This window comes from Homo sapiens, chromosome X (genome assembly GCF_000001405.40).
Source record: "Homo sapiens chromosome X, GRCh38.p14 Primary Assembly".
In the NCBI taxonomy this organism is placed as follows: domain Eukaryota; kingdom Metazoa; phylum Chordata; class Mammalia; order Primates; family Hominidae; genus Homo; species Homo sapiens.
In genome coordinates this window covers 133,961,957-133,977,069 of record NC_000023.11, presented here as the reverse complement: position 1 = coordinate 133,977,069, position 15,113 = coordinate 133,961,957, and the positions used below count along the sequence as shown (strand labels likewise).

General features: G+C 40.5%; 1 protein-coding gene and 1 long non-coding RNA gene across 6 annotated transcripts in view; both read left to right on the top strand.

Annotated features, from left to right (window-relative positions):
* The window catches only part of GPC3 (glypican 3), a 449,850-nt gene that overhangs the window by 8,525 nt on the left and 426,212 nt on the right, over positions 1-15,113 (top strand). The window lies entirely within an intron of this gene.
* On the top strand, positions 358-14,928 carry LOC124905220 (uncharacterized). Its single transcript, XR_007068339.1, has 2 exons — positions 358-6,994; positions 8,783-14,928. It is a non-coding gene; the product is annotated as an uncharacterized LOC124905220 (long non-coding RNA).

The window sequence follows — 15,113 nt, the reverse complement described above, 5'->3', positions numbered from 1 at the left end:
AATGTATCATTGTCTAAACTAATTTGCAGCAGAGACAGAAGGGGTGGTGAATTTGAAGCATATTTATTTATTCTCATTGGCCCTGGGAGCCTTGTTGCCCCTCATTTATTTATTTATTTATTTATTTATTTATTTATTTATTATCATTTTTTGAGACAGAGTCTTGCACTGTTGCCTGAGCTGGAGTGTGGTGGCACAATCTCGGCTCAGTGCAACCTCTGCTTCCCAGGTTCAAGAGATTCTACTGCCTCAGCTACCCGAGTAGCTGGGATTACAGGTGCCCACCACCACACTTGGCTAATTTTTGTATTTTTAGTAGAGATGGCGTTTCACCACGTTGGCCAGGCTGGTCTCGAACTCCTGACCTCAGGTGATCCGCCTGCCTCAGCCTCCCAAAGTGCTGGGATTTCAGGTGTGAGTCAATTTTGCTCCCTGGCGAGTTGCCCCTCTTTAAAACTTACGATTGAAGAGGAGATGACAAGTAAAGAAATATTTTTTAACTATAGCTTTACCTAAGTGTGGTGTTTGGATATGTTTTATGTATTTATATTCATAGATTTTATGTATGTATAGAACGATTTCTATTATTTAGACAGCAATAATTAATAAATATTTCTGTTATTTAAACTGTTTGAAAGTTAATTGTTACTCTAAGCAGTAGGTGGTATTTCACAGTCATACCTTACATTTGTCTCATGAAAGCCTTGCTTTCATATATCTCATGTACACACAAGGCAACCACTCATAAAGTGTCTGTCACTTCTGACTTCCAGCAACCTGCCTGGTTCCAGCACACATACACACACATATTTGTACACTCATATACACATATATAATATCCCTACATCTTTATGCCTTTAATAATCTAGAGACTAAGCCTAATTTTTCTGGGGGAGAGCTAGTGGGTACAGCTTTCAGAGATTGAGTAAACCATTTTCAGTTGGATTGGCCTGAAATTGTAGCAGAGCTAATCGTCACTGATATCATAGAGCTACCACTCTTAAAATCAAGTTCCATCATTTCCCCAAGTACACAGATGTTATCCTTGTTAAGTAGTGACAGTCACCAATAATGCTAATTTGGCCCACTTTGGAGAACTACTTCTAGCACTGGCAGCTTTGCATGTTGAGTGCCATAGAAATGAGAATGTGACCCAAGAAGCAGTTTCCAGGTTAGGTTTCATGGAGTGATTGCACTGAGGACCACAGTTATCTGTTTTGGAAAACAGATGGAAATTTGCAGAAAAGGAACTCACTAATAATGAACTTTATATGCCATTTCTGCATAAATATTTAAAAGTTTTTAAAATTTATTCTTACTTCAACCAACATTTATTGAGCACTGATACTATGCCAGGTACTGAGCTAGGAGCTGATGAACAAGATAAAATCACTGCCAGCAAGGAGCTCCCTGCCTAGAGAGGGATCCAGGCAAGGAAAAACATAGATGCCAAGGCAGCATGACTGTGGCCTGCTATAGAGCTGGGCACCATGTGGAGGCCTGAGGGCTCTTGAGCTATGGAGGAATTTGCCTAGTTGTCTTAAGAGGGCTGAGTTCAAGGCTGCAGTGAGCTACCATCATACCACCACACTCCAGCCTGGGTGACAGAGAGAGACCCTGTCTCAAAAAAAAAAGAGGGGGCTTTCATGTAAAGCATGTACAAAGGTACAGAATTAAGAGGCAAAATGACACATGACACATTTGTTGGACTGGAATAGTTGGGATTTCTTGGAGCACAGATGTGGAAGTGGAGTGAAGATGAATTAGAAAAATAGGAAATGCTGAGGAGTTTGGGTTATACCCAAGGATGATGAGGAGCCTTGAAAACATTTTAAGAAGGGAAACATTATTCAGTTGGAGGATGACTGGAGAGTGAGCGGTGGCAGGGAGTTTTAGTAACACAGGTGATAGGGCAGGGGACCATAAATAGGAGAATAAAAGCTAAACTTGAGAGAATAGAGGGAGTAGAATAGACATGACTTAGTGACTGGATATGAGGACAGAAGGGAGAATCTAGAACTTTTGGTTTTTCTGGGTGGTGGTGCTGTGGCACATAATAGGTGCTTGGTAAATATTTGTTGAACAAATGAGTGTGCTTGAAATATAGGAGGAACATGTTTTTAAGGGCTGAAATAATCAGTTTGGTTTCAAACAGATTGAGTTTGAAAGGTCCTTTGATGATGGAGGTAGAAAATGTCTGCTAGGTAGTTCAAGTTGCGTTTTGGATTACAAAAGAGGGAGAAATCAGGGATGGAGATATATACTTGGAAATTATCAGCATATAGATGGTAATTGAAGCCCTGGGAACAGATGAGTTCACTGGGAAAGAGTGTATATATTCTTCTGGAGTTAAGGAGAAGCACATAGTTGGGACTCATCAGCATATAGGCTTAAGTTGGAAGTCGTGAGTGTGGATGATATTTTCCAGGCTTTTGCATGTGGCATGTATTAAAATGTATTTTGCCAACATCTGATGATTTAAAAAAAAAACCTGCCAAAGACTTCAAGAACCCTCTTGATTAAGAGAAAGTATGAGTATATGTTGTCATGATCCAAGACTCTGCAAATAAGATAATGTACTACCAAACACACACACGTGCATGTGCACACGTGCATACACACACATCTCTATGTAGAGGAATATATTAGAATCAAAGAATCAGACTTCTATTATTCTTGATAGTAATAATGAATAATTATGCATGTTATTTAAATGGAAAGGCTGGACATGGTGGCTCACACCTGTAATCCCAGCACTTTTGAAGGCTAAGGTGGGAGGACTGATTGAGCCCAAGAGTTCAAGACCAGCCTGGGCAACATAGTGAAACCCTGCCTCTTCAAAAAATAGAAAAATTAGCTGGGCATAGTGGCATGTACCTGCAGTTTCTGTGACTCAGGAGGCTGAGGTTGGAGGATTGCCTGAGCCCAGAGGCAGAGGTTGCAGTGAGCTGAGATCACGGCACTGCACTCCAGCCTGGGTGACAGAGTGAGACTTTGTCTCAAAAACAAAACAAAACAAAACAAAACAAAAAAAACGCTGAAAGTTATTAGCTGTTACTCTTAGCAGTAGGTGATCTTTCACAATCACACATTACATTTGTCTTGTGAAAGCCTTGCCCTCATATAGCTCACGTACACACAGTGCAACCACTCGTAAAGTGTCTGTAGCTTCTGAGTTCCAGCAACTTTAGTGGTTCCAACATGGTGGCTCCTCTGTCCCTCCCCCAGGGCAGTACTTTCCCAATGTAAAGAATGAAAACTGTAACAATATGTAGCTTTTGGAGCTCTGGTCTGTATTCTGCTTCAGACTTGGCCCTGATGGCTGGTCTCTGAAACATGTGGTTCCAAGTAAACGCTAGGAATACTTGTGTAATTGGGCTGATCTTTCATAAGTGTCTATGGAGATGTATTATTTTTTGGTTTAGGGGTTGGGGAGGGTTGTATAATTTTCTGTTTCTCTGGCATAAATGGTTTCTTTCATTTCTCTGTTGTTTAAGAGATTGCCTTCATCAGTGTTTCTTTCAACATAAGCTTGAAACTCCTTGTATTCCAGTTGATTTTTTGACACCACTTTCAGGTTGGTGGAATAGTTTAGAAGGACCACGAGGGAAGATTATGGAAATTAATCTTTACTGAGTGCCTACTATATGTCAATTACTTTATATTTAACCTCTCATTTAATCAACACAGGAAACCTGAAAGGTAGGTGGTGTCAGCTCCATTTTACAGATGAAGAAACTGAGGCTCAGAAAGGTTTACTTACCCAAAGGTTGTGTAAGTGGCGGAGCCGGAATTTTCACCCAGGTTTGTCTTACTCCATAGCTCATGCTGTTTCCAGAATACCTACTGGAGTATGAGAGGAAGGGATATAGTCTGGATATAAAGTATTTGACTTAAATTCCCATACTCTGTCAACTTCTGTGACACTGTGTACTCTGGGTTCCCTTCCTACTCGCTTCAGTCTTTGCTTGTTTGCCCTCTTCCTCCTACACTTTGGATGTAAGTGTCCCAGTAGTGTTTGTCTTTTGCCCTTTCCGTTCTCTCTTTGCTTATTCCCACATCCATTCCCATGACTTCATTATCTTTGCTCTTTGAATGATTCAACCTGACCTCTTCCTTGCTCTTCAGCTCAGTATTTCCCAGTTGTCTGCTGGACATGTCCATCTGGAAGTCCTGCCAGTGCTTCATTTTCAACAGAGCCAAAAATTAGTCCATTATTTTCTTTTCCCATCCACACAAACCTGCCTCTCCTTAACGTTCTATATTTCTGGTGATGGTATCTCTGTCTGGCACCAACTCGAAACCTTGAAATTGTCTTTGATTTCTCCTTTTACCCATCCCACACCCAAATTAAGTGACTAAATCTTGCAAGTCTACCTCTGTCTATTATGTCTCTCACTCTTATGGCCTTGGCGTGCATGCCCTCTATTTAAGTATAACAGACTGAGCCAATGAATGAGAATGTGATATTGAATGGGCTAGGGAGAGCCAGTAGGATCTCTGCTCAGTGGCTAATAATTTGTAACTAGTTGGAAAGTACTGCCTTTGCTGCCTTAGATGGGTAGAACCTCTAGTCTTGGCCTTGGCTTAATTTAATGTGACCAGAGGCAGCTATCTCCTGAGATCATTTGGCTCTTCCCATAGGGAACTAATGGTTTCCCACTTTTTCTTTTGCTGGCATTCTGGGGTATATCTTACTTGGCCATCTCCAGAAGTCAGAGTGGAACTATTGAAGAGTTTCAAAGAGCTGTGGAAGAACTGTGCTCAGTGTTTCAAATAGTCCTTTCTGTTTTCAGAAACAGGTTTTCTGCTTTGTTTTCAAACTTCAAAGTTTATTTCTGAAATAAAGGATTATTTTCCCCATGGTATTCTGAAGGTTTTATACAAGTGTTAATTTCTAAAACCTAAGTCATTTCTTGGCTTTAAAACTTCAGTGCTGTGGGTCAATTTAATAACGTTGCCTGAAGGGTTTTTTGGCCTTCAAAAGCTGTCAGATTGCTTTTTCTTTGTTCTTTGAGAGTGTAAGGTTGCCTCATTTATGAAGCTTGAAGGAGATGTTGGAACCAGCATTTATTCAATCATTCAGAGTCTTTTCCCAACAATATCCAGTTTTAGCTTCAAATTAGATCCTAGTGGTAATGAAATTTACTACCAACTAATAATTCGGGGTAAAATGGGTAAGATTCTTGAAAAGCTCCTCAACATTTCATAGAGTAGTGATAAGAAGTAGCCTAGGTTACTCTAACACCCACAGTTAAGGGGAACAACGGATGTTCTGTGCACTCTCATCACAGCCCTCCTGGGGCTCAATATACCTCTGAAGCTACTGAGGGCCCTCCTTCTGTCTGTTGGACTGTTCTCCGCATCTTCCTTTCTCCCCTTCCTCCTACCCTCACACCCTCTCTCAACTGATTATAATTTAGAACAGAAGGTGCTTTATGGTTTTTTATATTTATTAAATGGTTTTGTTTCTTGTTCTCTCTTAAAAAAAAGATGAGTGGAATGTTTTATATTTTCCTCTGCATTTTAGTTTTAAGCTGTGTTTCCTTTCCCCGTAGCTTCTGATTTCCATCTCTCCTCTCTCTTCCTCCATTTTCCTCTGCCTTCTCCACTTCTGTCTGTCCTCAATGGAGAGAAAACAGGCTTTCAATTTCTGCCCACATATTTTATTTGGGTACCTGGTTTACTTATCTTGAGATATTGTAAAATACTATTCTTTAGTTTGAAAATGAAGAGCCCTAAAATATACACCAATGAATTTACATTCCATTTTCTAAGAACTGAGTATTTAAAAAGCTTTCTATACAGATAGAACAAGGCTAGATGACCTGACTTGTGTACCTCAGATCATTGCTATGTAGTTTACATTCTGTCTCACCTTGTCATAACTCTCAATAAATGAAAATTGCATCTTTGTTCTTAGAAATCTCTTTTCTTACATTGAATGCTTTCCTTTTTTCTGAAGATAAGGGAGCCCCTTTGAAACAGCGCTAGTGTGGGTTAAAACTGACACCTACCTTGTAAGCTAACCAAATTATAACCTGCTTTTCCCTGATGAAGTTATCACACTTCAGGGACATTGTTTTGCTTGTGGGGTTTTATTGTCCCAGTTTCAATTTTGACTGCAGGTTAGAGATTGTATTCCAATTGGACTATTCCTTGGTATTTTTTCTCTTTGTCTTTATACTTATGGGGCTCTGTTGTTTGTCCTGTATCTATTATCTCTTCCAAGCTTGGCCAAGGTTGTTAGGTTATGCACTTATGTATAAATATTTAACAAGATAAGTTAGACAAAATGTGCTTGAAGACATTTAAGCCCTGTTCCCCACCTTCCCACCACCCCACCCCCCAGCTCATTTTTTTGCATAGAGTCGCAGATAGTTGCTTTATCTCAGATGTTTAGATTTGGAGGACATTCCTTTGCACTTTGCTTGATGGACACAATTAAATGGAAGCCTTTTAGTCAATCTTGACTACCAAAATAGTAGCACCAAGTAACAGATAACATTAGGTTCTTCTTCCTATTTTTTTTTTTTTCTAACTGGTTATCCAAACTCCCTTAAGCCAGAGAGTTTTAGGTATGAGATTGTGTGTTTTTTAAGAAAATATTACGGATAAAGACTAATGTTCTCAAGTCAGGAATAACAATTAGTACCATTCATTAATCAGGAGGCATGTTTTGACTCTGGGTCCTGGCTAGGAAATATAAACTGTGAAAGTCACACATATATATGAACCTCAAGCAAATTTATGACTTGTCAGCCTTTTAAGGTTAAATTCTTAACCCCAGATCGGAGCTGGCTTTATATGTGGAGCCCGGCACATTCCTCTGGGCCACTGAGCACGCCCCTCCCCAGCCCTTTGCTTAACAGCAGCTAGTGGCCTAATGAGCAAGAAGGATTTCTGTCTCTTATCAGCTGCCTAAACAGCAACAGGAAGGCTGATATACGGAGTACAGGTCAAAACCTGAGTTCTTGAACCAAAAAGCTACAAGGTCAGTTTAAAACTCTAGATATGTGGTACCGCTATAGTCATCAATACCTGTCAGTAAAGGAGTTAGACACTTGAGTTCAAACAAATAGTAATAGTTGTCAAAAGTATGAATCGTCTAATTAATTTTGCTAATAGTTCTTTCCTTCTTTGTTTAGTTCTTTTAGAAATAGCCTTCATATACTCTTTAATGAGCTTTTAGTTTGTGCCTGGAGGTTGTTATGGTCGTGTAGGAGTGTTTGATTGTCATCTAGTGATGATGATGGAGGCGAGGATATTTATATTTTGGCCCAGATTTTGGAAGGGGCTGCCAAATAAAGGTAAATAGATATCTACTACTATTTTTATTTCTTTTTAAACTGGGGTTTTTTTGCATATGCATTCAACTTGCCATGGAGTCAGAGAAACCTTTGTGCCTCCTCATATTGCACTCAGATGTTTTTTTTTAAAGGAGAAATCCTCATTGCCTGTTTCTTAGATGCACTTGGAATCCAGGCTCAGATTCACGTAGAATAAATATTTTAGGGTATTCAGTGCCCATCATAGTGAAAGCCCCTTGACTTTCATCTTCTGCATTTGCATGTTTTCAGAGACAATAATGAAAACTTTTTTTCAGATTCTGTTGTGTTATTGAAAATCCTATTTACATAAACAGGCATTGTTGTGGCTTAGGGAAGAATGTGGGGTCCCATTCTTTAGCTCCTTGTATATCTTTGCTAAGGCTCGTCTAAATAGAAGTAATGACGCTTTAGTCTAAGCAGCTTTTCTCATTTAGGTAAGCAGGGTGGTTTGAAATTTCAGTTTACTGGATAATTGAGTCTCTTCTTCTTAATTATTTCAGGCATGCAGGTTGCTCTCTTTATAGTAAAGACCCTAAAAATCTAGTAATCTCCTCAGGCATCCATTTGGTAATAAAGTCCTGTGCATTTTCAGGGGTTAATTTTCATGACAATTGTGTGTTGCCGCTCCACCCCCACCCCTGAAGAAATTCTGCTGTTTTAGAGCCTTGGTCTCCTCACAGTTGCAAAAACACACTTAAAAATATATTAGGATGTTGCTGGAATTACTGGATCTAGAGGACATTTAAATGTATTCAGATTCATGCTCATTATACAAATTTAATTTAGGGTTTTTAATAGCCTTGTTATATTTCTTGGAAAATCATGTGCCTGACTTTGCCAGACTTGGTTTTCTGCCCTGAATGAAAAATGGGTATCAGTGCAAAAGTGCAGCCTAAGTATCCCCTATTCTATCCTTTTTCTCTTCTTAAAAAACAAAAACAAACAGAAAAAACATTCACAGAGGTCATCTGGTGCAGTGAGGTGGGAAAAACTAAAAAGGAAAAAAAAAAAAAAAGCCTAGGTTGCCTTCACATCTGCTAGTCATTCCCACTAGTGTGACTTCAATTCAGCAAGTTTTTATTGAGCACCTGTGATGGGGGCGGTGCTAATAATCGTTAACATTTATTGAGCCAGGCACTGTGCTAAGCTCTTTATGGGCAACATCCTACTTAATCCTCACAACAGCACTACCAGGTGGATAGCATTGTTTCCCCCATTTTACAGATGAGGAAACTGAGGCTTAGAGAGGTTTAATGACTTGTTCAAGATCAAATAGCTATGAAATTAATCAAACCCAGTTAGTCTGGTTCCAGAGCCATGTTCCTAATGATTACTCTTGTGATGGGTTCAGCATTTGTAGGAATTACTCCTCAATTCAGTTTTGAGAACCCAGTATGTGTGAGATGCTAGGGATTCAAATTCAAATACTCCCCTCTCCCTGCTCTTGGTAGGAGAAGCAGACATGTAGACAGACGACGGCCATGTATGGAGTGGTCCCCACGTTGATTGAGGGGGAAAGAGGAAGAAATGGGAAGACCAGTGGCTTGAACCTGTGGGAATGCTACGTCACGAAGGCAGCCCAGCAGCCTGGGGTTATAGGTATTTCTTTTCCTGTTTGGTGAAGGTCATCCTTTGAGTTGAACTGCCTCAATGATTGTATCAACCTGTTTCCATCATTGCCTCAACCCAGTGTAGCATCAGCTACCTTGAACCCAGCACTCCTAAGACATGCATGGTCAGCACAGTTTGGGCCAACTGGCCTCATAGTGTCACCATTTCCCTTTCAGTTTTCCCTTAAAAAGTAAAAAGCAGGCTGGACACGGTGGCTCATGCCACCCAGCACTTTGGGAGGCTGAGGTGGGCAGATGACTTGAGCTCAGGATTTCAAGACCAGCCTGGGCAACATGGCAAAACCCCCCATCTCTACAAAAATAAAAAATAAATTAGCTGGGCAGGGTGCTGTGCACCTGTAATCCCAGTTACTTGGGAAGCTGAGGTGGGAGGATCGCTTGAGCTTGAGAGGTGGAGGTTGCAGTGAGCCAAGATTGCACCATTGCACTCCAGCCTGGGCAACGGGAGTAAAATCTTGTCTCAAAAAAACAAAACAAAACAAAACAAACAAACAAAAAAACTAAAAAATAAATGAGGCAGATATTCCTGAACCAAACTGCTGTCCTCTCAAGAGCTGGTGGTTTTCTGAAGACAAGTTATATAAGACTGGCAAGCCACAGGGAGACTCTGGATCCAGGCTTGGTTCATTCCGCTTGATCTAGAGCCCTCCTGGTGCTACCTCTTGGAGCCCACACTGGGATCTGGAGATCTCTGTGTCTGAATCACCCACGATTTGATGGGAGAATGAAGTTACTCTTAACTGTTTTTGAGTTTTTCACTAAAATCATAGGAATGGAAGGGAAATCTCCAAATCACCTGTTTGGATAATTTATTTGTGTTTTTCATAGCTCCTGAAGAAAGCAAGGAGTAAAAAAGTTATTACTGAGCATCATTGAAAAATCTTTTATGTGTTGCATTCATAACCTAATATTTCCCTCAATTTTAGGAAACATTTGGTTCAGAGAAAAGTGAATTCACTAATGTACGTGTGGGTGTTTTGGAAACAATGTCCTCTAGCTTCCAGTGTCAGCTTACCAAGAACTCTTGTGTCTCCAAGTTTCTTATAGTTGCTCTGCAGTGCTTTGCTTGCCAACTCTACTCCTGTGCACTTTCTCCTCCATTAAATCTCTTCCACAGCAAAGGGTTGCCACCAAGTCTAGACTTTAGTAACATGCAGAAGGAGGGTGAATTAGTGAGGATTCTGATTTGCATTACATGAGGGTAGGAGAAGGAGGAAAATCTATCCTTCCCAGTCCTTCAGATACTCAAGTTCTAACACAACACTATGTTGAAGATGTATAAAATTACTGGAGCATTTACACAGCTATTCCCCAAGATGGCATAAATGCCACAGCACTAGAGCACGTTAGTATAGACACTCGGATAAGCTGAAGAATGGGAAAAAGGAAAAGATCAATAACAGCGCTTCTCACTCGGGGATCAAGAGTGAGTGTTTGATTTTCTTTTGGTTGCATTTTGCTCAGGTGCAGTGTGTATGTTGTACTAACAAGGCAACTGATTCCTTTTTCCACAGGTTCCTATCATAGGGAAAGGGGAAAGATATAATAGAGGGCACGGATTATTTACAGTGGCCGAGAATGTAATTACAAGGCGCAATGGCTTGAAACTGAAATTTAAGTTAGCTATTAGAGCTGGGAGAAGCATCTTAACAGTAAGGGCAGTTGGGCATTGGAAAGATTTGCCTGGGAGCTTGTTAAACAACATCTCCAGGAATGCTGAAGACCAGGATGGGGGAATGTGAAGAAAAGCTCATATCAAATTCAGAGTTGTGCTGGAGGCCCAGACTGATCTGCATCTTTCATTATTGCCTAGCTCCCTTTATGATTATTCAATTGCTAATAGCTTGAAACAATTTTTTTCATGTATTCAAAATATGCCTAATTTGGTAAGCATAACAAAAGAAATGCCTTTGAGCAGTGAGAATGAGGCTTTTAGACTGGTCTGAGCATTCTTCTAACAGACTTTCTGGAATATGGGCCAACAACGGAGACAATATTATTAGTATTTTTTGCTTCTGCAAGACTTTTTCCTTCTTATTATATGGGACTATTGCTGTTAAAGTAGTATTCGGCCTCTATTAATATTACTTCTTCAAAGCTGACCTTACAGAAAATTTGGTTTTAGTCCCTGTTTATCTTTTTCTTGATCTTTCCCCCCTTTTTAACACTTCTCCAGTACTATCCAGGTGTTCTGGGTTGCCTCTCTCCCCCCTACTCCTTCTATCCTGTGCTAGAGGAAGATTCCTAGTAAAGTCTTTAGCCCTGAGGTATGAGGGCATTACTCACAGAGTGCTATACATGAAGACAACACGTGATGAAATGGCTTAACCAAAGTAGTAACTCACCAATGATGAAACATTTAGATATTATTAGGCAGAAACATTTAGGTTGGGTAGAGGAGGAAAGAGAGTGTATTAGTTTCCTAGGGCTGCCATATCAAATTACCTCAAATTGGGTGGCTTAAAACAACTGAAATTTATTCTCTCACAGCCCTCATGGTCAGAAGTCCAAAATCAATGGGTCAGCAGGGCTGTGCTCTCTTCATAGATTCTCAGAGAGAATCATTCCTCGCCTCTTCCGGCTTCTGGTGGCTCCAGGCATTTTTCGGTTTGTGGTTGTATCATTCCAATCTCTGCCTCCATCCTCACATGGCCTTTTACTCTTCTTGTGTCTCTCCTCTGTGTGTCTCTTATAAGGGCACTTGTCTTTGGATTTAGGATCCACCTAGATAATCCAGGAGGATTGACACCTCTCCAGTCCAGTCCTATCCAGGTGTTCTGGGTTGCCTCCCTCCCCACTACTCCTTCTGTCCTGTGCTGGAGGAAGATCTCTAGCCTGATCCTTAATTACATCTGCAAAGACCCGTTTTTCCAAATAAGGTCACATTTACAGGTTCCAGGGTTTAGGACATGGACATATATTGGGGGTGGGGGGGGGTGACACCATTCAACCCACCATATAGAGGAGAGCTTTCTGGGGCCTTCTGAATCATACCAGTTTACCAGAACTCTCTACTGTAAGGAGGAACTTGTTTGAAGAAATCTTAAAGTTAGTTGTAAAGTGTCAGAAATGTCAGTGCGCTTCCTGAGAGGGATGTGGGTGGCAACTACTGTTAACTCATTTTTTAAATGGTTAAATTGAGGACCTGGGAAATAAAATGACTTAAAGTTAGTTGTAAAGTGTCAAAAATGTCAGTGTGCTTCCTGAGGGGGATGTGGGTGGCAACTACTGTTAACTCATTTTTCAAATGGTTAAATTAAGGACCTGGGAAATAAAATGACTTACCCAAGTCACTGGATCAGAAGAAGAGTTCTGAACAAGATCAGAAAAAGAGGTCTGAAACAATGAGTCTTACCCAAGTCACTGGATCAGAAGAAGAGGCCTGAAACAAGACAGATCTACTTCTGGCCACCAGAGCTGTGAGAGAATAAATTTCAGTTGTTTTAAGCCACCCAATTTGAGGTAATTTGATATGGAAGCCCTAGGAAACTAATACACTCTTTCCCCCTTTACCTGACCTAAATGTTTCTGCCCAATAATGTCTACATGTGTCATCATTGGTGAGTTACTACTTTGGTTAAGCCATTTCACCATGGGCTTTAGGTCTTACCTCATCATTCTTGTTGAACTTTTTTCCTGAAAAAATATAATATTTTTTCTAAGCATTTTTGCCACGGGAAGGCAATTGTTGCTTATTATGCACCTGAAAAACCTTTTTGCAGGATCTGTAGGATCAAGGCAGTGGTGCACTTGCAATCTACTGCAGCTTTCCACCTGGTCTTTGTGGTTTGCTGAAAGATCAGCTACAGGGAATTTTAGAAGCCAGAACATCTGTGAAGCAAAAGCCTTCCTTTTTAGATTCAGGCATACTGAGTTTTAGGTACAACTTGCGTGCAAAGTGGTAAATATATGGTTTTCACAGATGAGATATTCTCTGAAGAAATGCTGTCACACTTGTTTATGACAAAAAGACCAGTTCTAACATTTATGGCTGTGGGGCATCTCTCCTCTGATGCATTATCAGAGCATACCAGTGACAACTGTGGTGTGTCAAGAGATTAGTGAGTTAGAGTGTGGCCTTCATGGAAACAGAGAGAAAGGAACCCTGGGGGTCACCAGATTCAGCCTCCCTCCTACCTAGTGTAGGAGTCCATTCTGTGGTATATGACATTGCTACCCAAATTATGCCTGAATGCCTCAAGAGACAGGGAGATTACTATGTATAGGAAGTAGGCTGTCATTGTTGACTAATATTTGTTCATTAATTCAGCAACCATTTATTGAGTGTGTACTATGTACTGGACACTAGGCCATGTCAGGGAATACAGAGATGGCCAAAATATAGCTCTTGCCCACAGAAACCTATAACTTAATAGTAGGGATAAGAAAGGTATACCAATGACTACAAAACCTAGATTGCAAAACACATTGTTAGAGAAGTACAAAATGAACAGAAAATTCTGAGAGATAACAGCTCAAAGAGTTCATTTGGAGAGGAGGGGAGAAACATGAAAGACACCTGAGAGAGACCTTATGGATGAGAATATTTTAATAGCTGAAGCTAGGGAAAGAGTGCTTCAGAGACAGGAAAAGCATGAGCGAAACAGGGAAGCAGGAAATGGAGGCATGTGTTTGGAAAACATTAAATAAGAGTTTAATTTAATTCTCACAACGACCTTGAGAGTAGGTGTTATTGTCTCCATTTTATAGGTAAGGAAACTGAGGCTCAGAGATTAAGTAACTTGCCTAAGATCACACAGCTAAGTGGATGGCCAAGTTGAGGTTCACATTCTGGTCTGTCTGATTTCAGAGTTTTTCCCTTTGCCACTGCATGCCATCCATCAGGAGGATATCTGCCATTAGTTGGCTTCTGGAGATACAGGGGCATATATGTAAAAGGACATGTGGTTATTACTTGGGATACAATGCTATAAAGGCCAACTTGTTGGTCTTTGCCTTAGCCCCATATCCGTATTCATGTATCTTCAAGTGATATTGACAAAGCGTTCCTAAAAGGGCGAAAGCAAGTCCTTTGCTTCTTTTGTGTCCTCCCAATGCCCGGTTGAGAATGGGCTCAGTGAATATTGATTACCCTACAATTGGGAAACTTAGATTTGCTAGTCCAATCCCTTTGAGGAAAACAGGCCCAGATTTGGGAACACACTTGATAAAGTCACACAGCTGATTTGGTAGCAGAGCAGATAATAACATTTTAGCTTTGATAGGGAAGAGCTCTTTTCCCTCTGATGTGATTTCATACATGTTGGGGAGGGACCTAGCACTTAGATTGGGCCTAGGGTGTTGAAATTCTCAGCTCTGCCTCAGGTCTGCGTATTTAAAGATTGTATCTGAAAAATAAAAATTAAACATCTTCTGAAAGACAGGGTCTCAGCTACTTATCTGAGTAGAATAACAATTAGTGAAGAAGTGACTAGGGGAGGCAGGAAAATTACCTCAGTTTAGTCCCTCTGGCAGAATTCTAAACTAGAAGATTCTGCATCCCAACTCCAGCATAGCTGGCATTGTTCTCCAACCCAGTTTTCTTTTTATTAGGGTGTTTCCCCTCATCTAAATAATCAATGATGTGCGTGTATGTGTGTGAATACTTTCGCTTTTCTAAAAGTTGCTCTAGTAGCATCAATTAATCTGACCCAGTTCCTTTAAAACTGAACTCTCTTGAAATTCTGACATTACCTCCAAGTGAAAGGGGAGAACATCAAGCCCAAACTACAATGGGCCCCTTGAGACACAAAGATGAATCACTCAAGGGTCCTTCCCTCAAGGAACTTAAATCTAGTGGAAATAAGGCATGCATATATAACTTTGTTGCAATATGGAGAGTGTGAGAAGTGTCTTTATAAAGACTGGAGAGTTCCGTGGGAATTCAATGGATAGAAAGCTTTTGGAGTTCATCTCCTTCTGCTCCCATAAACATTCTTTCCCATGGGAATCCAGTCCAAAGATAACGAGTAGTCATCTTATAGCAGGGTTCACATAGCTCCTTGTCATCTGGCTTCTGCCACTCTCCACCACTTCAATTTTCCCTTTAGCCTTGCCAGGTTCCTTGGCAGTGCCTGAAGATGCCACCCACTTTCACACCCCTGTGCCCTTACTCCATTTTCTTGGAGGTTTTTAAAGAAGTAGAATGACA